This window comes from Homo sapiens, chromosome 10 (genome assembly GCF_000001405.40).
Source record: "Homo sapiens chromosome 10, GRCh38.p14 Primary Assembly".
NCBI lineage: Eukaryota > Metazoa > Chordata > Mammalia > Primates > Hominidae > Homo > Homo sapiens.
In genome coordinates, this window is record NC_000010.11 from 85,939,944 (window position 1) to 85,964,466 (window position 24,523).

Genomic DNA, 24,523 nt, shown 5'->3' on the forward strand with positions numbered 1-24,523 from the left:
GTAATCCTGGCTACTTGGGAGGCTGAAGCAGGAGAATCGCTTGAACCTGGGAGGCGGAGGTTGCAGTGAGCAGAGATTGCACCACTGCACTGCAGCCTGGGCGACACAGTGAGACTCCCTCTCAAAAAAAAAAAAAAAAAAAAAAGAGAGAGAGAGAGACAGCTGTGGGCAGGGGGCATTGTTCTGCCTGCCACAACTCTTAGATGTAGTAGCAAACTGTCAGAGGAATTATCATAGTAGTTTCTTAACTGAATGTGAATGCCTTTTGATGGGACATGCCTCTCCAGTTGGTTCAGTCCCCAAGACTCTCTTGTTTTTTCCAACACTCTGCTCTTATTTACCTTCTCTGTCTGGCCCACAGAGGCAGCTGAGTTTCTAACCCATGTGTAGTGAATCTTCAAAGGAGGGCCCATCTCACTTAGCTTCAGCTCTGCTCTTAGGAAGCTGAGCTGAGAGTAGTGATATCATATGCAGACCCCCAGAGCTGCTGGCAACCCTCTCCAAAGCTATTGGGATGAATAATAAATGCAGATTCCAGGGTGCACACACTGATGTGGCTTCTGAAAAAGAAATTGGAGAAACATCCGTTTCTATCGATGTCTGGGTGACTTACAGCTCTGGAAATATATCTATGGAATGATTTATCTGAATTTTATAGACCCTAGGCTTCTCCCAACCAAAACCCAGTTACTGCTTCCATAATAACTCATCCAATGGATTGCTTTAAATTTAAAGGGTGCAGGGAGAACTTTGACTGCCTGCAATGTTTAAATCTTGTCTTCTGTGGAGGTTCTGTTAAACTTCTGGATGGCCTGGACAAAAGCACTGTTGACCCATGGGGACAACTGGGTTCAGTGGCATGGGAAACACAAAGAGGCAGAGCCAGACCCTGGCTGAAGAAAGCATCAGCCAGAACCTTGGAGAGGAGAAGAGACCGAGGCAGGGGCTCAGGGTGCCAAAGCAGCCGCTCAAGCTCCAAGAGCTTCCTCAGAAGGGTTGCTATAAACCAAGACTGACTACCAATATAAGAACCATTCTGCTTGGGGAAGGCCAGATCACAGGATGGGGAGACTGGAGAAGAATTGTATGTATTAAGGACCCACATATATCAGGTGCTTTTCATCAATCTGTGATGTGTGATGTGTATTCATTTATTCTTCCCACCTTAGGAGGGTTGGTCTTCATAATCAGGAAGATATAGGTTCAAATCCTGGCTGCACTATATGCCAGCTGGGTGTCCTTGGGTAAGTTATTTAACCTTTCTGACCCTCGTTTTCTCATCTGTATTTAGAAATTATAGTCTATACCTCACAGAGCCTGAACCTTTTAAAGTGCATTTTTGAAGAATGTTTAATAGCATGGGAAAATGCTCATTAACAGCATTAAAAGAAAAAAATATAGGATGACACACAAAAACCACATAACTCTAGTTCTGTAAAAAGAATATATACATGTTGAATATATGCATATCTATATGCTGTGAACATATATGCATAGACAGATGAAAGAAAATAAATAAAACTATTAACGATGGTTATATCTACATGGTGGGAATTCAGATGATTTAATTTTTAAATGTACTTTTTATATTTTCCAAATTGCCTACAATGAACATGACATACTTTGAAATATTTTTCTAGATTTGCATTTTTATTGCAAAAGTGATCCATGTTCAGTGTAGGAAATTAAACTTTGTTACCACTGGGAACAGCTTGTTATGAATTCTTCCAGATGTTTTTCTGTGCCTATCTAAATATATATGCACAAGGCATGAATTTCACAGGTCACAAATTCAGGAGGTGTGCAAAAGAGGGCATCTTTAGTTTTTTGTGATTGAATTTTATTTCTATCCCAAGCCCCATTCCACTTAGTGGCAGAAACGTAATTTTAAGCAATGGAAAGTGAGATCAGGCAAATAAGAATGCTCCCAGACAAATAAGAGTTTTCCCTGTGGCTTTAACTGCCTCCTGTCTCCTACTTCTCCCTGGAATTGCATCTTCATCCTAGGGAGCTTACACGGTGCTGAAGTGTGCAGTGGGGCACTGGAGGGGTCATCTTTCCATGCTAGCTTGAACCTAGATATACTTTTCCCCTGCCCTCCGTCTTCAGGATCTATCCCAACTAATGGACTCTTAGATATCCAAGTTTCTCAAATGTACTGATCAACCCAAGCCAAACACACTGGGGCACCCCTTTCTCAGCTGTGAGCCTTCTTCTGGTCCAAGAGACTTGGGTCCTCAGTTTCTCAAAGTCCCCCTCAAGGGGACACGTGGAAAGCTTCCAGATGCTATCCTGTGCTCCCCTGGGAGGGGCACTCACAGGCTTTCTCTGTCTAGACCTGCCTCCTACCCCCACCCTGCCAATTTCTAATCTTCTGATGCTGCCTATACCTGGTTCAGAGGATGTTGGTGGGGGTCTCCACCTTCACAGAGTTCAGAGGGGTCTCTGACTCTTATGTCTCCAACTGTCTGGGGCCTGTGATCCAGACCTTCCTTCCCCACACTAGGGGGATCCCCACCCTAAAGATCACTTCACAGATACCCATCCAAAACTTAAATGAGAACACTCAGATTCTCCACCCAGCTTCCTCTCCTTCCTGCAGCTACTGTAATCTTTATCTCTTTTGCATGGACCTGGCGGACAGTGAGCCTCGGTGTTCGTGTTCAAGGTTTAAGACATAAACCTGATGCCAGGGGTCCTTTATCTCTGCCTTGGAATGGAGACTATGCAAGCCTTCTCCTCAAATCAATGTCTCTATTATAGATTACAAAAGTCTATTTTGAAATTCCAAAGCTGAAATTAACTTTTGTCCTGTGGTCCTATGTGTTGCCTGAATACTGGGAGAGGAGAGGAAGTGAGGCATAGAAAGAAGAGAAAAGAGCAGCTGTTCATATTCAAAACTATTAAATACTACACATGTCTTTGGTTGTGTGAAATAAAGATACACAGCTTAGTAATAGTATGACAGTAGAAGCATATCATACATACTTTCTACAATATTCTTATCACCACTGAAAAATATGCCTTTGAGTTATTGGGCTAATAAATTCTTTGCAATAGTTGAAAACTATTCTATTATTCCATTTTGATATCTAATCATTTGTTTCAAAAATAGAGTTGCTTCCAATTTTTCAATATTTAATGCTTCAATGAACATTCTTGTGCATATCTCTTGCTCACTTGATAAACTATTTCTGGCAGATAAATTCCTAGAGGAAAAATTGTTATGTCAAAGGATATTGCCAAATAGCCCCCTACCAAAAAATTATATATGGGAACTTTACAGAAATAACATTTGAGTTCTGTGAGGGAAAATGATTATTTAATAAGGAAATTTAATAAAGAATGCTGGAATAAATCAAAGATATATAAAATATATGCCATATTTTTTAAAACTATATGCCAAACAGATTAAAGCTCTAAATGGAAATAATAAAATATCTATACTGGGAGGGAAAAAAATACCAGAAACATAAGCATTACCTCACCATGGAACTAGGAAGAATTTCTTAAGCCAGATCATCTTTAATATAGTGAAAAATACCATAAAGCAAAAAGATAAATGAAAGATTAGAGAAAATATTTGCAATGTACTGTCCCTTGCTATACTTGGGGATTGAATCTACCCCCACCTATACCAAAATCCAGGCACACTTAAAATCACAGCTGGCCCTGCAGAGCCCACCTCTATGAAAAGTCAACCTATGTAGTTCAAACTCATGCTGTTCAAGGGTCAACTATACATGCCAAGCAAGTGGTTAATATCAGTAAATAAAGAGCTCCTTTAGTATTAATAAGAAAATAAAGGAGAATGGGGCAAAGGATTGCAAAAGCAATGCAGAGAAAAAGAAATTGAAAAGGCTAATGTGATAGATCGCAAACAATGGCCACACGATTCTCCCTCCCATCAGGAGAGATATCTACTTCCCCAAGCCCGGAGTCTGGATTGGCTGTGTGACTTTTTTGGCCAATGGGAAATGAACAAACATAACCTGAGCAGAGACTTTAAAAGTTCTCAGCACTGGGGCTTGTCCTATCTTGCTGCTCTGAGGAATCCTGCCACAGTAGCCTGTGAACAGTCTCTGTCTAGCCTGGTGGATTATGAGACACACATGGCCCACTGGCCTCCATTGCCCTAGCCAACAGCCACCCAACTGGCAACCACAGGGCCACCTAACTGACCAGTAGCTGACCACAGATCTGTGAAGGAGCTAAGCCAAGACCAGTAACAGAACTTCCCGGCTGAGCCCAGCCCAAACTGGTGGCCCACAGAATTGTGAGCTAAAATAAATGGTTGTTGCTTTAGGCCACTAAGGTTTGGGGTGATTTGTTATGCAGCAAAAGCGAACAAAAATAGCTAATAAACAAATAAAAATGTGCTCAAGCTCACAAGCAGCAAATTTAAGCATGGTATTATTTTTAACCCCTCGAATTGACAAAAATGAAGAAAAATAATAATTTCAGTTCAGCAAGGATGGAAAGAAATAATATTTCTAGTCATTGCTGAGTGAAAATTGCTGCAAACATATCTGAAAAGTAATGTGACAATAGCTATTAAAACTGAAAATACATATAGCCTTTGACCCTAGAGTTCGACTTTGAGAAATTTATCTTACAGCAGTAAAAAATGTATAAGGATATTTATTGGCATATTGGCTGTATTGGGGGAGGAGGAATCATCAAAGAAAGGAACGGAGGGAGGTAGTGAGAAAGAAAAGAATGGAAGAGAAAACCTGGGGCAAACATGTATATCTCTCAATAGGAAAATGCTTAGTAAAATGTAGCATGTGCATATTATGGGTCACTAGATAAATACTAAAGGAGTAAATTAGACTTACATTTACTAATTTGGAAAGATGAATGTGATTTACTGTAGAGTTTTTTTTTTAAGTAAGTTACAACGTAACGGATATAGTACAATTCCATTTTTTCTAAAATAAAAACGATGATATAGTTATATGCGTTTTTGCAGAATATTATAATACTGACATGTTTTCATTTTACTAATTTCTTTTATACAGTGGCCCTCCTAAAGACATGGAAATAATGGGTACCCCAGCAGACTATAGAAATAAAGGTTAACTCATGGCTTTGAGTTTCAAATGCTGAGGTCCTCATCCAAACTATGACTGCCAAGCATCCTAACCATGAACACCTATCAGCAAAACCTTTGAAGCAGGTGCTCCGTTATGTGTATACTTAGGTATTTAAAAATTATGCACATGAATTACTATAGATTATAAAACATATTAGAATATATAATACGAAAAGATCCAAAAGAAGAAATAAATGATTTTAATAAGTTATGATTTACTGTGATTAATAGTACAAAATCTTTTTGGTATAATTAAAAACATATATGCTCCATTATAAACAATTTAAGTCCAGCAATGTAATTGAAAATGCTTTAATTTTTTTTAAATCTTGGTTTAACCCTTTGTAATACAGTAATTCAAAGCCTGCTTCCAGTTTCCATTTATTTCAATACTTGATTTTAATGGGTACTGTACTGTAGCTGAAAGTGGTATCTGTCAGATTTCCATATGTCCAAACTGAAGAAGTTCTTTGGGGTATTGCTTCCTCAATCTTAGCAAACAGAATTTGTCAAAAAGTTGACTAATACATTTCCATCTTCCCAGATACTTCAAACACACTAAAATTTCATGTTTTTAGAAAGTCATTTCAAAGCACATTGAAACCCTTCACTCTGAAAAGTTCCTACACATGGGCTAGAAAATTCTGTTTCCCAGGTTTTTAGGATGATAAAATTTTCATAGTTTTCATAAGCACTTTCAAAACATCCTGAGATACTTCACTGTGGAAGTTTTTTATATACGGATTAGAAAATTCTGTTTCCAAGGTTTGTTTTCTAGTAAGCAGATATAAGGGCTTTAAATTATTATTTATGAGTGACACATATGGTTTTCAGCAACAACAATTAAAAATACTGGAAATATTTCCGACCATTCATTTTCAAAATGCTCTCTTGAACCAAGAATTTACTTCAAAAAGCAATTACTTTCTTATGAATTGTTAAAACATTGAAGGGACAGATAAAATATGTTTAATTTTTAGAAGAGTATCTGCCAGGTAGCATTCAATTGACATTATCTCATTATTACAAATAGGGTCAGCAATCCTCAAAGTTTGTTTTTTAATGAGAGAAAAATGTCTTAGCATCAAGTCCCAGACTTTTAAGCACTTTGCCAAAAGATCACCAGTGAAGCTCTGGGTAGTACAAAAGATTTCAAAATTTTCTCCCCATTTCATTACAAGGTACTATAAAGAGTCTGCCATTGAAAGGTCTTGTGTTTTAAAAAGTAATCAGCTAATGGTATCTCATGGCAGATTAAATAGGTTGTGCTCAATGCCCTGAGAAGACAAGCAGCCAGGTAAGGTCACTGCTCTGAACCCTGCTCAGTGTCCACTCCATTCGACCCAAGTGTCAACTCGTGTTAAATATTAGGAAGCTTCACTCCTTTGCTTTTTGACTTAAAAATTAGAAACAGAAGTTCTAATAATTTTCTTTGACACACCAAGGAATCAATTGTGTAACCCACTTTGGAAATCACTGCTCTAAATAATTTATTCGGGAAAATACTTTTGATGCCATGAAGAGAGAAAAATGCTCAGGCAAAAAGAGATGACATGAGAGACTTGAGTAACAGAGTCCAGTGGGGGCTTGGAAAGGGATGCTGTCCCTGCTCCCAGGGCCAAGGCCAGCCCCGGGGATTGCGGGGGGAAGAATCCCCAGGTCAGTCTTGGGCGGCTCTGAGAAATTGTCTTCAGTTTCATTTTGCACTGTGATGCCAACAAGCCCAGTGTTCTCAAGCATCCAGGAAGGTAGACATAAGGGGCCTCCCAGAACCCCACCCACACTCCCCAGTGTGGCCTGTGGAGCTGCCTGGTGACCTGAGAGTCAGGGACAGGCCAATAGTAGGTGAATATGAGAAGCACACAGTCATAAGCTCCAATGGCTCACAATGCGGAAATGTGGATGACTTGGCAAACACAGCAAGAGAGACAACAGCAAGTCCAGAAGGAACAGTGTATGGCTCAGAAGAGGCGCGACAGTGATGACAATGAACCAGGGCAGTCCCCACCAGCACTGTCCACCCGCACCATTATTCTCACTGCCAAATCAGAGAGGCTCCTCCAGGAGAAGGGGACAGGGGAAACACAGCATGGCCGTGGCTGCATTCTCTGCCCCCACACAGAAGGGGAAGTGCAAAATGAAAATTAAGTTCCGCTGCAGTCAAAAAAGGCTGTGTTGTTTCCACTTCTGAATTTGTGGTTTGAGGTAAGTACCCACCACATGCATTGGTACCTTGTTACCCACACAGAGCTGTGCAAGGATACACTCCAAGCTGTGAACACGGAGCCTGGGACTGGAGGTGGTGTGGGGTGGGGAGAATACTGCTTTACACATCTTTGAACTGTTTTTCTTATTATAATGGCCATGGATAACTTTCGTATCTCAGATAAAATATAATTTAAAAATATGTATGTAGAGCACGTATGAGCAAGGCAGCCAGTTTTGGGAATGAAGCTATGGCTACAGATTCCCCTAGAAGACCCAGTCATTGTCCCAGGGGCACTGTGGTCACCACAGACCCACAAGTGCACGTCCATGGAGAGTGTCGTGACTCTGCAGGATGCTGTGCCAGAGAAAGGCACACAAGAAGCAGCACCTGATGCTTCAGTCAACTTCACAGAATTTTCTAAAAAATGCTTCGTAAAGAAGACCACCAAATCTGCTGAGAAGAGAGGATGCTGAAGAAGTGGCAAAAGCATAAAGCCACGCTATGAAAGCCTTATTTCCTTCTGAAGGGGAAAGAAAGAGGGTCAGACGTCCCAATACACTCAATAGCCTCCTTCGACCTTGTTCTTATTTTGTTCGGTCTATCCCCAGAAATCAAAGGAGAGCATCTTGGATATGTTGCAAAAGAATTAGGAGAATGTTGAATAACACTGCAGGTGATAAGCAACCTTACAATAAGCCTACCAAGCTGAGGAAATTTTTGAAAATGGTATTGCTTTGCCAGGTTAAAGCCTACCATAGGAGAAAAAGAAGTTGTCCTAAAAGCAATGTGGTATCTTAGACTAGAACTGAGAGCAGAAAAGGGACATTAGTAGAAAAACTAGTGAAATTCAAATAAAGTCTTGGGTTTAAATAGTAATGTACCATTGTCAGTGTCTTCGTTTTGACAAATGTACCATGGCAATGTAGGATTTGATTAGATGAGATAATCAACATCAAGGGAAACTGAGTAAGGGGATAGATAAGAACTCTCTGTCCATTGTTTAATCATCTAAAATTATTCCAAGTGAAAAGTTTATTTTTAAAAAACAGAGATACTTGCCAAGGATAAAACATCTAGTCCAAGGAAGAGGAAGATGAGGATGAAGTGGTTGAGGATGGAGTTGAGGAATTAGGTAGTCCTTTTGGGAAGCTGCATTGTCACCTGGAGTGACAATTTCCCAACTTAGAAGATGTTCTCTTCTCTGAAGGAATTAACTGCCCTACACACATCTCACTTGGTTTTTTAAAAATTGAAATAATAAGGATGTGTAGATAATTTTTGTGTAGTAAGCCTAGTATTAAGATTAAAACATTATGAACCTATCTTTTAGAGGTATTTGCAATAGACACTGACTTTGTATCTTACAGTATGGGGCTGTAAATTGACACAGAAATTTAAAGCAGGTCACATATAACACAAACTATATTTGGAGTAGTAGTTTTGTTTTTGATGCAACTTGTATTAACTCTTCTATGAACTTAATACCAGCTTATAATTGCAAGAAAAAAGATCCTGTTTTTTTGACATTCTGAATGCTTCTAAGTATATACAGTATTTTCAAATTTTAATAAAAACATGTGCTTTAAGGAAAAAATAAATATATGTAAACTGCTTCCAAAAATCTTGACCATTCTGAAAGGTAATACGATATTTCATTGTTGTCTGAATTGATGTTTTTATTATTAAGTATTAACTTTATAATCAGGAACATGAACAGAAAAATACACTTTAAGCCCACACAGGAATACACAAACTGGAGAGGAGAGAAACCGTCTGGACATGATGCTTAAATTTGGGTGGAGAGGACAAAGGAAGCACTTTCTATGGGAACAGAAGACGTGCTTCTCCCAGGAGGGTACTCTGACAGGTGTGGGGTGCGGGAGGGGAAGGGCAGCAGATAGCCTTTTGTACCAGGGTGTTGTATTGGTTTTTACATTTTTATAACAACAATAACTGTTATTAAAATAATAATAATTGCAAAATTTTCAAAAAAGTTTTAGTTGAAAATTCCTTTTTATTCCCCAATCTCATTTCCCAGAAGTAACCACTGGTAACTGCATATTTTTGGGCATCCTTCCAGACCCTTTCTATGCATATATAAGAATATAACTTTAACAGAAATAAATCAGATTGTACATAATATTGTATAATTTGCTTCTTTTTGTCATAAAACAATACATCATGAACATTTTCTCACTCTTTGTGTATGTAGACCTAATCCATTCTTTTGGGAAGTGGTATTGCATTTCTTTTTATGGATAAATATTCAATTATTTATCCAAACACCTATTGATTTTCATTTACAGTGTTTCCAGGTTTTTGCTATTATGGATGGTGCTGCCACATTGTTTGTGCTCTGATGAGCACAATCTTTACATCAAACCTTCTAGGCTTCCATCCTGGCATCTCCAAAGACTAACTATAATTTTGAACACATTATTTAACCTCCCTGAAACTCAGTGAATAATCACTGAGAGATAATGTCTACTTTATAGATATATTGCCGGGATTAAATGCACTTATATTAATGACTAAAATAAAATTAGCAAAAATGTCTAGTTGTTCCCCTGATATCTATGTGTTTCTTGTGTGTGTGTCTATAGGGAGAGAGACAGAGAAAAGAGAGATACATATAAAAAGAGAGAGAGAGAACTATAGGGATGGATGGATGGATGGATGGATGGATGGATGGATGCATGGATGGATAGTTGGATGGATGGGTGAGTAGATGGATGGATAGATGGGTGACTGGATGATAAATGGATGGGTAGATAGATAAATAGATAGATAACAGAGAGAGAGAGATACCTGGTAGGTAACAAAGCCTAGCATCAAGGCTAGGAATTTTATAAATTAATGATCTTAAATGAACTTAAATTCCTTCCTTTTACTTTCATGGAAATAGGGAGCAGACAAAACACAGTGGCAATGGGAGGTTTACATTCAACTAAAGTATATGCCTGAAGAGCCATTAAGCCCAGAGCAGTGCACCTGGAGTGACAATTTGCCAACTTAGAAGCAGTGGAGGAAATGCCGCTATTCTGGAGCTAAAGAGACATGGTTCCGGAAATGGAGTGGCAAGAACATTGAGAGAAAGTGGTCCTGTCATTTTAATAGCACGTGCTAGCCAGAGAGGGTACAGCTCAGTGTAATCACAAATGTATCCCAGACTCTAGCCAAAGAGACTGTGAAATGTCCAAAGAAAAGCAAGATGTAACTCCATGTCCTAAGACTTTTAAAAATGATACAGCTACAGATAAGGGAGGCTCTGAGAATCCAAGCCTGACCAGACTGTGATCAATGGTCTTGTCAAGGAGCAGAGGGGGAGAACATCTCAAAAGGCCTGTAAGATAACAAAATATTTAAAAGTAGAAGCACATCCTTGCAGTCACCTTTGATTTGTCCTCTAATTTTAATCAGTTCGCAAATCCAGCAAACATTATGCCCCGTACAAACTTCCTGCCAGAGTGATCTTCCTACACCCCGCTTGGCACACCAAGCCCCTTCATCCTCTGTGGCTCCCAGAACAAAGGCTACAGTCCTGGTACAGCTTCAGAGTCCTCTCAAATCAGGTTCCAGCCGGATATGCACCACTCCTCTCCAAATGCCCTGTGCTCTGACAGCACTGTCACTGATCATTCAAGAGTCTCCTTCCAGGAGTAATACTGTACCATCATCTGACTTGAACCCTGGGCCTGGAGTATATGTGGGAGACGTCTGGAGTTAGGAGCCTGTCTGGCATCCCCATTCCATTGGGAAATGGCCCCTGCAGGACTCCATCTGGCTCTGGTTAGATACCACTCACTAGATCCCACTCCTATCCCCGGTCATTGGATGTTTCTATCCTCTTGTTCACAGTGACCAGCCCACAGGATGGAAACATCTCAAGCAAGACCAAACCAGGTCACTGTCTTCCTTGGGCTGGGGCTGGCAGTTACCATCCTGCCTACCATGAGAACCAGACTCTGGGCTCCAGGAGGGCAAGGGATTTTTGTCTGGCATATAGTACATGCATGTTTGTTGAATTAATAATTGAATGTGATGGGATGGAATCAGAGCAAATAAAAGGACAAGCAGCACCAGTGTGCAGAGGGAGTTCTAAGCATGCACCCTCAGACCTCCCCATTAAGTGTGCTCACATGTTATATTTCTGTATTTCTGCTTATACTAGCTTTAGCTGGGCCTGGAGTATAGGTGGGAGACGTTTAATTGGGGTTTCTTTCACATACAACCAAAACACACTTCCCTACTCATGATCAAAAAGCTCAAATCTCTCCAGGTTCATTTCGTATGCTGGTTCTCCCATGCAGTCTTCCCAGATGCTCCCAGGTCAAGCCACCCTCTATGCCTTATGAAGTTTCATTGCACATTATCTCAAACTTCTAGTAACATGTCTTATTTTCTACCTTTATCTAAGGCAATTTATGTACACAACTGCAGCAGACATTGCTGGTGCCCACCCAGACACACCCCAGGATCCCTTTCGCTGGCCCTGCCCCAGGGCCCGCAGGTGCTGGCTAAAGGCTCACGTTCACAACCTTCCCTGGAGTAATCAAAGCCCAGAGGTGCCCACAGGGCCCTGTTGCCACCCCATGGCCAATGCTGCTGGAGAACAAAAGCCCATAGGACACTCTGCAGCATCACCTGTGTTCCTGGGGGTGAGGCCGACGCCTTGCCTGAGTAGGTCCATACCATCCTCCATCCCATCTCCCTAACTCCTTTATGAGCATCTCCCTTTCTCAATAAATAAAGTGCTCACAAATCTCCATGTCAGGCCCTGCTTCTAAGGAACACTATCCGAAGCACTAAACATTCCATCTTCCCAAACAAACCTTTCAAAAACAAGACTTACGTCGATTCTCCTTTCTGTCTCTTATAGCACAGTGCCTACATGGGAATGGCATCCTCTAAGAAACAAACAGGAAGGAAATGCAAGAATAAAGACACAACAGAGCAATTGAACAGAGTTAATAATTTTCAGTAAACAAAGAGGGGCACATGTTACGACATCAACCTGAAAACAGCATGAGGAAGCAAACTCCTAGAACAGGCTAAATCTTCAAAACAATTCATAGAACAACCAAAAATAGCCTGGTTTTGTTTGTTTTGCTTTTAAGATCCATCCAGAGGAAAAGCTAGACATGAAAAAATTAGCAATGCCATGTTTTAGAAATTATTCTTTTATTAATCCTCTTCAGTGTTTCCCAAACTCCTCAACTCATCTGTGATGAAACAGGCACTTTGATATCAATTGCAATATTACTGCAATGCCTTCAGGTTTAAGTGTGGGATCTGCAACAAACCCATTTTTTAAGGAGATTTTTTGTGTTTGTGTTTTTTTTTCTTCAAGGCTTGGCTCACTCCCCAAAGAAAGCCTTCTGCCACAAGAGGAAAAGAGAGAAAAAATAAAGAAAAAGAAACAAAACAGGGCCTTGCAAATTGAACAACATCTCTATTTCATGGGTTCTCTCTGGTATGATCCCCCCCTCCAAACCAATGATCTAGGCTATTATCTTGGGAGAACTGTACACAGTTGATCCTTTAATCACATGGGTTTAAACTGCATGAATTCATTTACACTCAGATTTTCTTCTGCCTCTTCCACCCCTAGAGAGCAAGACCAGCCCCTCTTCTTCTTCCTCTTCCTCAGCTACTCAATGTGAAGACAACAAGGGTAAAAACATTTATGATGATTATTTCCACTTAATGAATAGTAACTATATTTTTTTCTTATAATTTTATCAATAGCATTTTCTTTTCTCTATTGTAAGAGTATAATACATAATATGTATAACAAACACAGTATGTGTTAATTTTTTATATTATCAGTAAGGTTTCTTATCAACAGTAACCTATTCATAGTTAAATTTTAGGGAAGTCAAAAGTTATATGTCTGCATAGTATTCCATGGTGGTACATATGCACCATGGAATACTATGCAGCTATAAAAAAGAATGAGATCATGTCCTTTGCAGGGACATGGGTGGAGCTGGAGGCCATTATTCTTAGCAAACTGATGCAGGAACAGAAAACCAAATACTGCATGTTCTTACTTATAAGTGGGAGCTAAATAATGAGAACACATAGAAGGGAACAACACACACTGGGGCCTATTAGAGGGTGGAAGGTAGGGCAGGGAGAGGATCAGGAAAAATAACTAATGGGTACTAGGCTTAATACCTGAGTGATGAAATAATCTGAACAACAAAAGTTATATGTAAATTTTTGACTATGTAGGGAGTCAGCACCCCTAACTTCAACATTGTTCAAAGGTCAACTGTAATTGCTAGGATATTTTGTGAGAAGAAACTTCCAGACTATGTATAACTAAAAAAGCCTTCTCCACTTTGCAGAATCTGTGGACTCTATAATATTCCTGGCCTCCCAACATCACACTCAATTGCAAACCCCTCTCTGCTGCTTCAGCCTATGAGGCGTTAAGTGCTTAACCATTTCACAGTCTCTCTGTATAGGTAGTCTCTGATGTGCATGAAGGTACAGGCATAATTCCTCCCCAGAACAATTCATGCACACTTTCACAGAAACCCTCACACAGAAATATCACACTGTCTGGTTTTAATATTCATCTTCTTCTTCTCTGCCCTGAGTTCCTAATTCTTAGTGTGGGACAATGTTTTCCTATTAAGCTTTTTCCCCTAAGCCTCATTACCTCTCTGTGGTAGAAAATCATTGCAGTTCTTTGGCTGTCTTAGCAGGAAAGGAAATTAATTTACAAAAGAGGGCAAAATAATCTCCAAATAACAAATCCTTCTGAACTTGGAATTTGGCACTTCATAATCAAGTCAAATGAGAGGAGGGGAGTCTATTACTGTTTAACAATTTACAGGAGTGTCTGAAACTGCCTTGAAATTAACAAACATAAAATGGTGGAAAGAAGGGGAGCCAGTAGGAAGTTCTGGTCCCAGAAAACAACATCATGAAATGCCATTAATGAAGATAGTACCTGGATAGCACTCAGGACAGGAGGATGGCAATAGAGGATGTTCAATTAAATATGAAATCTAACAGAAAGAGGTTTACCATCACTTCTACTATAAATCAATGACTTCCAATTATTGTATCCAGCAAGCATGCCAAGTTACTCTAAACATTGTCTCTCTTTATCCTATGTCCTAACTATTTAATGGACTGAGAGTAACTGGCAGCAATAGGAAATCTTCAGAAATTAAGTCTACATGAAAGCCTAAGTCACAAATATAGGAAATACTAATGTTCCTTTTATCAGCACTCCAGGCAACCAAAAAAAGCCTTTATACTTTCTTTATTATAAAAGGAATCATTATAAAAGGGCCAAAGATAGATGGCCCTTGATATATGTAAGGAAGCTGCCACTAAATTTGACAACATTACTGTATCATATGGTTCCTCATAAGCAGTGTACTCTAGCATAAGCATAAAATAGCAAAATCAGGCAATACTTGTCCTTATACAGCCTCCCAGGTCCTTCCGAACTGGCAGAACTGTGCTAAACCCCCAAAATACAGATCAAGGCAGTAAATTACACTAATAAGTGTTGAAGTAGTGTGAACTCAAACATTTACTAATCTTGTGATCTAGAAGAAGTCACTTAATCCCTCCGAGCCATAGTTCAGTTCCCCACGGTGTTGTGAAATTTAAATGAGATCATGGATATAAAATGTCAAACCCACTGCAGACACTTGTTGAACTTGTGTTTTTTCTCCTTTTCTAGTACATACTTTGAAATAGGTCTAAAGGATTGGAGTCTACAGGTACAAGTATACAAAAAATACAAAAATACAAAAAACATGCCATTGACTAAGACTCTTCCCAATGCTGGGTAGAGCAGGTGCAGCATGGAGTTATGAGAACCACCGGATTCCCCCTGGGTGACTCCCAGCTTCTGGGAATGAGATTCCAGGGCCTGAAGGAAAGACTCCATCTCCCTGTCCCTTGGATGGTGCAGGGAAGAACTTACTCACTCAGTAGAAACTGAGACAAAGAAGCTTTTCTGCCCTTGCTCCAGAGTCCCAGCCCTTAGGGTCAGCATCAAGATGGCGAACCTGTAGCCATGATTAAACAACATATGGAGACACCAAGAGGCCCCTCAGAACCTGCATCAGGATAGCCAGCCTCCAGCATGCGAGACAACTTATGGAAGTGCCAAGAACCTGGACGCAATGGCCTCCTCTGGGAGTAAAATGGGTGGAATCAGTGGTAGAGGGTCCAGCTGGCCTCTGCCCGGTCCCCTACCTAGGAGGGTCTCTGTAGTCAAAGCAGAAACAGCAGGACCTGAGAACATGAATTCAGCCTCATTAGGGGTACTATCCTATTCAAAGATGTAGGGCATGTTGAAGGGAAAGTGCTTCCAGGCCTCCAGCTGTGCCTGGGATAAGAAACAACTAGCAACTGACAGGGTTCAATGGGTCAGAAAGGTCTCTTTCGACAGAGCAAGTGGAGACTCCAGGCTGTCCTTTCTCCATGATTCATTTAGTCATCAGACAGTCAGTCAGCACCTTTCCTGAGCTCCCTACAAGCCCACGCTTTGCCCCTGTCTGCCACAGTCACAGTGGACAGTGCAGCTGACCTATGCCCACAGTCCTAGAGTGGGACTCTTCCCCTTCTGACCCCTGAGGCTTCTCCAGCTCAGCCTCCACCAGAGGGGAGCTGGCCATTGTGCTCCCCTCAGCCCTTTCTCTTTCTCAATTTGATAAGGAAATTAGGATGTGACATTCACAGTAATTTCTCATGAGCTTGACCCACTCGAGTCACCTCCAGGCTCCCTGGCAAAATTGATTCGAGGCCCTCAAAGTGGATGGCCATAGTCCTGATGTGGTTACTCAGGGCATGCAATGTCCAAGCCCCTGGGCAGCCTCACTGGGCAGCCTCTTTCTTTCAGCACTCATTATACTCATATCTTGTTTTCCAAATATTTATTCTTATTTTAATTTTAACCCAAATCATTTCCTGAGTCAGACTGTAAGCCATGGTGTCAAACGGTTTGCACCTGCTGTGCAAGTCCTGCACTCCAGGTGTAAGTTCCTTACACCTGGGCACCTTGACCACTTGAATCTCTAATTGGCTGTGCCAACTCCCTTTCTCAACCCTTCCTATTCCAGCAAGCTTCTGCTAGCCCAACCTCCCCAGCACTCTCTTCTGGAAACTTATAAGCTGCCAATGCTCATTCCTTTCAAAGTTTATGAGGATATTTCCAACTTCAAAGAGGTGAGTTACATAAACGTCATATCTTTAAAAAGTTTAAAATAGATGCTCAGGATTTCTCTTTTCAAATGGGGCAGGTGGGGATTAAGTGCGGTTTTGACCACAAGGGACCATCTTGGCCTGGTTTGGGCTCATGCATGTGGTCTGATTACTCTAAGCTACCCAAACATTCAGTGGTAGCACAAGGAAAGCCCCTTCACATCCCAGCACTTTGCAAACTCTAATCAAAAAAGCCTCATTGAGATTAATGGAAAATGCCCTTTCTCCCATTTAGGAGTGCAGAACAGAGTAGGCATGGGAAGCGTCAATTTGAAATGGATCCAGCAAGAACCACTGGGCTCTTTAGTGCAAGCAACAGAAATTGATTCTAATTAAAGTTGGGGAACTGTTGGAAGGAATCTGGCAACTCACAGAATCACTGTGTATCAGTTCGTTTTCAGGTTGCTATGAAGACAGGGTAATTTATAAAGGAAAGAGGTTTAATTGACTCACAGTTCCACATGGCTGGGAAGGCCTCAGGAAACAATCATGGTGGAAGGGGAAGCAAACACATCCTTCTTCACATGGTGGCAGGAGAGAGAAGTGCTGAGCGAAGCAGGGAAAAGCCCCTTATAAAACCAACAGATCTCTTGAGAACTCACTCATTATCACGAGAACAGCATGGAGGAACCGCCCCCATGATCTAATCACCTCCCACGAGGTCCCTCCCCCAACACGTGGGGATTACAATTCGGATTACAATTCAAGATGAGATTTGGGTAAGGACACAGAGCCAGACCATATCACACTGCCAAAGCTATAGGATGAAGCTGGGATGTGAGGCAGCTCCAGGGGTTTGGAGAACAAACTACAAAAATAACTTTAGAGTAGAAATGGTGTGGCCAGAGTATCCTCCAGCCTCACACACCCCATGAATGATTTCCAGCCAGGTCTTTGGTCCTCAAATTTTTAGAGCCCCACGAGAAAGCATTTAAGTGGCCAGGTTAGGTCTTGGTGTTCCCCCCGGTTGTATTAGGCAGTTAAGAAGGCATATCTGGCCCCTTTGGCTTCTGTAAATGGGATAATCCCCCCAGACTACACATAAGGGCAAGATGGAACTCCCCAAAATGAAATCAGAGAGCAGTAGGAAGGAGGAAAGGATGAATATTCTCCCCGGTGAAAATGCAGAAAAGAGAGTCTTGACACCCTGAGCCCACCTGGTAGGGTTGCAGCCCATCTAGAACACCCTGAATCCCAGACAGGATTGGTACGGCAAGACTCCAAGCCTGCTCTGCAGGCCATGCTCTCCCTGCACCCATGCTGAAGGTCAGCAGCCACCCATTCCCAGGTAACTCTTCCCCTAAGCTTGGGAGAGGAGAGGTTAATGGAAAGCTAGGCTGGGGATGTCTATATGCCTGGTCTGGCTCCTCAGGGTGAACGTGACATGGAAAGGCAGCCTCTGCAAACCTGGCTGTCACCTATCAAGGTGAGACAAGCTGCAAGTAAGGACCTTCCCCAAATTGAGCTACTTTTAACTAAAGCAAGAATGGAACACGTGAAACTCCCCCTAAGGGAGTCGGGAGATGTGCCAGCTACTCAGGGCCATGATGGCAAAACCCAGCAAGTGGACAACAAAGGCAAACCTCACAGGCCCAGGGCCAATAACCTCTAGAAACCCCTCTGACCCCTGCTGGGTCAGGTCAACCTGGGCCTCTCCTGGACCCCACATGCTCCTTTGTAAATATTACTGCAGTTTGAATTTTACTTCCATGAGTAACTTTTTTACTGATGACAGTCTCTCTCATGGCACCATAATCTCCTCAAAGATAGGAATGCCAGGGGTAAGTCACAAACTACCTGCCCCTCACCCACAGGTGCCCTGCTACACTGAACCCATATGAACACACTAAACAATACAATACCCATCTGTCACCTCAAGGCCCCTTGGTGACACCTGTGATTGTTAATTTTATATGTCTATTTGACTGGGCCACAGGGTGTCCAGACATTTGGCTGAATATTAATCTGAGTGTGTCTGTGAGGGTGTTTCTGGGTGAGATTAGCATTTGACTGGGCCACAGGGTGTCCAGACATTTGGCTGAATATTAATCTGGGTGTGTCTGTGAGGGTGTTTCTGGATGAGATTAGCATTTGAATCAGTAACTAAGTAAGGTAGATCACCCCCACTAATGTAGGTGGGCTTCATCCCATCAGTTGAAGATCTGAATAAAACAAAAAGAAGCTGAGGGTCCAGGCGTGGTGGCTCACACCTGTAATCCCAGCACTTCGGGAGGCTGAGGCAGGCAGATCACCTGAGGTCGGAAGTTCAAGAGCAGCCTGACCAACATGGAGAAACCCCATCTCTACTAAAAATACAAAGTTAGCCAGGCATGATGGCACATGCCTGTAATCCCAGCTACTCAGGAGGCTGAGGCAGGAGAATCACTTGAACCCAGGAGCCAGAGGTTGTGGTGAGCCAAGATCACATCATTGCACTCCAGCCTGAGCTATGAGAGTGAAACTCCGTCTCAAAAAAAAAAAAAAAGAAAGAAAGAAAGAAAGAAAAAGAAAAAGAAGCTGAGGAAGCGGGAACTTTGTCTGCCTGACTGTGTTGAGCTGGGGCATTGGTATTTTCCAACCTTCAAACTTGAACTGAATCCTCTTTCAGACTGGAACTGACACCGCTGGCTCTCCTGGGTCTCCTGTTTCCTGACTGCACATCTTGGGATTTGTCAGCCTCCAAAAGTGCCTGAGCCAATTCCTTATAATGAATCTCTTCTTCTATGTGTATGTGTACTGATTCTGCTTCTCTGGAGGACCCTGACTGATGCAACACTTCTCAATGACACTCCTGCCCTGTCCTGGCCAAACTGAACCCTCCTCTGGGAAACTTTGGCCCTCTCTGTGACCTGGCAAATAAAGGGAACAAGACGAGGTGCAGCAGGGTCTCCAGAGTGTTGCACCAGTGCCTTGGCAGCATCTGCCTTGAGATGTTCAGGGCAATGAGTTGGCAAGGACATCCACCTGTGCACCCACCTGCTGATCCTGATGGAGCACATTTCCATCATCCAGGAGAGTTCCCTGTGCACTGCCAGCCAGTCTCCCACCCGCCCCCACCCGAGGCAACCACTGGTCTGCTTTCTGTAGCTCAAGATCAGATTCACTTTTTCCAGGGTTTCATAGACATAAAATGATACATAAGGTACTCTTTTTCCGGTCTGGCTTCTTTTGCTCAGCATAATGTTTTTGAGATTCATCTTTGTCACTGTGTGTATCACCAGATTGTTTTCTTTAATTACTGTCTAATTTCTATTACTGAGAACATCACTATTTGTTTATCTATTCACCTGTCAATGAACATTTGCATCATTTTCAGTTTTTTGCTTTTTCGATTAAAGCTGCGCTAAACATTCATGTCCAAGTCATTGTGTGGATATATTTTTTTCATTTCTTTTGGGTAATTTTTTTTTTTAAGACAGGATCTCACTCTGTCACCCAGGCTGGAGTGCAGTGGCACAATCTCGGCTCATTGTAACCTCCGCCTTCTGGGTTCAAGTGATTCTTGTGCCTCAGCCTCCTAAGTAGCTGAGACTACAGGCATGTGCCACCACTCCTGGCTAATTTTTGCATTTTTTGGTAGAGACAGGGTTTCACCATTTTTTGGTAGAGACAGGGTTGGCCAGGCTGGTCTCAAACTCCTGACCTCAAGTGATCCGCCTGCCTCAACCTCCAGAAGTGCTGGGATTACAGGTGTGAGCCACCACGCTCAGCCTCTTCTGGGTCAATATTTAGGAGCAGAATAGCAAAGTCCTAAGGTAATTTTATGCTTAGCTTTCTAAGAAACAGACAAACTGTCCTCTGAAATAGTTGCACAATCTTCCATTTTCACTAGCAAAGCTGGCAAAGTTTTAACATCACTCTGCCCACACAGACAGGTGGCGAAGTGTTCAGGTGCTGCCTGCAGGATGCAGAGTCAGGAAAAGGTTGTGATCATATCATAGTACAGCAGGCCTTCCCTGGCCAGGTCTAGAGCCCTCTCTTTGCTAAAGCTTTATAAGCTTTCTCTAGCCTTCAACACTGAGCTCCCCTCTGCATTTGCTGTGGGCATGAGAGCATATATCCACACAGCACAGCCATGCTAAGGTAGAGAGAGCACTATACATTTCCACCAGCCAAGGCTCAAGGGCCGGACCTCGCCCTACTGACCTGTATGTCTCTCCCCTTGACCCCACCTGCAAGAATCTCTCACCTGCCTTGCATTAACAATTGCCGCTACATGTTGGCGAACAACCAAATGAATGAATCAATGGATTGAGCCTGGTTTAATCACTTCTATCACGGCCACACCAGCCTTGCTGGAATTGGAGCACTGCATTCCACCCATGGATGCACCATTGTGAGCACTGACCTCACTCAGGGAAAACATTTCTTTTGATCTCTTGAGAACTTTCCTGCTTGTTGCTGGTGGCTTCAGGAGGGAGGAGGGGCTTCTGCAGACCCTGCTATTAACCCTGGCCTTCACCCTGAGGACTCACAGAGAGAGGCTCGGTGGTAGAGTCGCACGGAGGCTGGCAAGGAGCTCTCTGTGGTGTCTAGGCCTGGAGTGAAGGGCTCCAGGGCCAGTCTCAGGAGTCTCAGAAGTGGGCCCTGCCTTGTTGAATGGCAGTACATCCTAAGCCCAGATTTCTACTCTGAACAGAACAGAGTGATAATAACACATTCACAGTATCGCTCTGAGGATAGAATGAAATAATGTACATGAAAGTGCTTTGAAAACACTAAATTGCTCCCCAAACACAAGCCTCAATTATCATGCGGCACTGGGTTCTCCTCTGAGCCTGCCCCTGCCTCCCTTCACAGCTGGCACCACCAGGCACATTAGCTATGCCCAACAAGTCTCCCGCATCTGTCAGCCCGGGAGCTATGAGCAGATCCCCTGTAGAGCCCACCAGGGACCCTGGTATCATAAGCACAGTGAAGCCCAGACCAGTGAGGAGGCCTCCCGCCACTTGGGTCCTGAGGCAAACGAAATCAACTGGCTTGTGTCCAAAGACCTCAGGACCCACCAACCACCGTCTGTCCTCCCTCCCTTCTGCCTTTCTTCCTTCCTCCCTTCCTTCTTCCCTTTCCTCCTTCCTTCTTTCCTTCCTTCCTTTTTACCTTCTCTCCCTCCTTCTTTCATTCCTTCCTTTTCTGCCTTTCATCTGTTTTTCTCTCTTTCCCTCCTTCCTTCTCAGCTTCCTTCTCTCCTTCCTTTTTTCCTTCCCTGCTTCTTTCCCTCCCTTCTTCCTTTCTTCCTTCCTTCCCATCCTCCTTCTATCTTTCCTTCCTCCCTCTCTTCCCTTCTTCCTTCTTTCCTTCTCCTTTTTCCCTTCCTTCAGGCTTCCCTCCCTCCCTCTTTCCTGCCTTCCTTCCTAAGGACAAAAAGGATGGAAGGAAGAAAAGAGAGAGAGGGAAGGAGGGAAGGAAAAGGAGAAAGAACAAAGGAAGAAAAGAAGAAAGAAAAGAACAAAGGAGGGAAGGAAGGGAAGAATAAAGAAAGGAAGGAAGAAAAGAAGAAAATAAGGAAGCAAAAAGAGCAGAAGGAAGGAAGGAAAGAAGGAGGAAGGGAATGAAGGAAGAAAGGCAGAGGGAGGGAGGACAGAGGGTGGTCTGTGGATCCTGAGGTCTATGGCTTGGGCCACTCGCTCTCCTTTGGTCAGGCCTCCTCACTGGTCTGGGTTTCACTGTGCTCATGGTGCAAGGGTCCCTGGTGGGCTCCTACAGGGGTCTGCCACCCTTCCCTTCCCTCCTTCCCTTCCCGGCATTCCTTTCCAGCATCCCCGGGTTCATTGCTCTCCCCTACAAAGTTGCTTAGCATCTGGTGACTGGATGGAAGTGATCTTCCCCTACAGCCTTCTTTCCCAATTTCCACCTTGCTTCTCTACTTAAGGAGACAACCTGAAGCTGCCAGTCCCTAAAAATCAGAAAAAAGCCCCAGCTCAGCTGCATAGACCTCCCAAGCACCTGACAAACGTTAGAACTGTCCAAAAGCTCCACTTGAAAATGATGCCCAGAGAAGTTACATTGCCTGGAGCCATGTCAGCTTCCTAAATGGAGAGGGAGGGAAGAAAACATCATCACAGATGTGTCCAGCACAACCTGGCCTCAAGGCACACTAACAGCTCCCAGTGGGGATCCTAGAATGCAAGATGGTGGCTCAAGAGAAACCATCTTGATCAAGGTGCCACCCTTGCCCCAGGGAGACTGAGTGTCTAAAGCACTGAGCAGGGCTATGACAACTGAACACTCTGCTCAGGTTTGGGAGGTACTGGGTTTGGGGAGAAATTTAAAAATTTATGAAACCACTCAGTACTACCCTTCCAGATATCCTTTCTTCCTAACCCTCTACACCCATCCTTAATTCAATACACAATTGTTAATCCCGACTCTGGGACAAGCTAGGGAAGCAATGCTGAGTGAGACTTGGTTCCTATGCTTAAACCACTCATGGTTTACAGGGAAAGACAGGCACATAAATGGATAATTTTAAAGTAATATGCTAAGTGCTCTGCTAGGCATAAGAAGCAGGTTCTGTGTGAGCCTAAGAGGAGCTGCCCAACCCAGCCAGGGAAGTCTGGAAGAATGACATGTGTTGCTGATGCCTGAACTGGAGGTTATTTCTTTATTTACTTCCCTTGCTGTAACTATATCATGGATTCCAGAACATGTTCCTGGAGGCAGTTGAAACTTAGAAGGCTCATGGCTTTCTTCATGGGAACAAGCTACATCTTTCAGCCAAAAAAAAAAAGATTCTTCTGACCTTTCTTTCATATGAAATTGGGTTTCGGGTCCCATGGATTCTACTACTGAATTATCTCTTCACTCCAACCCTTCCTTCCTTTCTCCACTGCCACTACCTTACTCCCAGGTATTGACCATCACCTCTCTGCCAAGTTAAGAAACCAGTCCTCTTTCCTAAGACTCCCATCCCATTTCTCACTTACCCTCCAATGCACTCGCCACACAGTGGACAGGGTGACTTTTGCTCACTTCCATCTGAACAAGTCAGACTTGTGCTCAAACCTCTGCTAAGGCTCTCATAGCTTTTCAAAAAAACTCTAACCTCCTGACACCAGGCCCCTGATGATCTCCCCATCCTCCACTCTTACCACGCCCAACCTGATTCCAAAGCAGCTTCCCAAATCCGTGGGGTTATTTCATGTCCATATGTATAAGACTACTCCTTCACCATGATTCTCCTGGTCACACCTTGCCTCAAAGGTAGATATAGCCACTACATTCCTTGAGCCATTACTTCACCCTGGTCATCCTTCTATGTGTGTAACATTTTGTTGCTTTTGTATGCAACTTGTCCCTCTCCTTTTCACATTATGAGATGAAAACAAGCCCTATATCTTATTTCTCATTCTAGCAGCAGCACCTGACACAGCACATGCAGAAATTACTTAAAAGGTCCTCATATCTAACTGAAAGAGGATTTATACATGGCAGAGTAAGGACTTCCATAAATAAGCCCTTCCATAAAAGAATTAAAAAATCACAAGCATCCCTACAGCAATAACAGACAAACAGAGAGCCAAATCATGAGCGAACTCCCATTCACAATTGCTACTAAGACAATAAAATACCTAGGAATACAACTTAAAAGGGATATGAAGGATCTCTTCAAGGAGGACTATAGACCACTGCTCAAGGAAATAAGAGAGGACACAAACAAATGGAAAAACATTCCATGCTCATGGATAAGAACAATCAATATCATGAAAATGGCCATACTGCCCAAAGTAATTTATGGACTCAATGCTATCCCCCTCAAGCTACCATTGACTTTCTTCAAAGAATTGGGAAAAAACATGAAAAAATAAATTTCATATGGAACCAAAAAAGAGACCACAGAGCCAAGACAATCCTAAGCAAAAAGAACAAAGCTAGAGGCATCATGCTACCTGACTTCAAACTATACCACAAAGCTACAGTAACCAAAACAGCATGGTACTGGTACCAAAACAGATATATGGACCAATGGAACAGAATAG

At 42.6% G+C, this 24,523-nt stretch overlaps 1 protein-coding gene across 1 annotated transcript in view, besides 1 other annotated feature; it reads right to left on the bottom strand.

Annotated features, from left to right (window-relative positions):
* The window catches only part of GRID1 (glutamate ionotropic receptor delta type subunit 1), a 767,244-nt gene that overhangs the window by 340,392 nt on the left and 402,329 nt on the right, over nt 1-24,523 (bottom strand). The gene's annotated exons all lie outside the window — the stretch shown is intronic.
* Nucleotides 6,920-7,259: an enhancer, noted in NCBI's record as "active region_3682". NCBI's record gives its function as "activates an Ori minimal core promoter by ATAC-STARR-seq in GM12878 lymphoblastoid cells {active_cell/tissue: GM12878}" and the evidence as "EXISTENCE:reporter gene assay evidence [ECO:0000049][PMID:35858748]".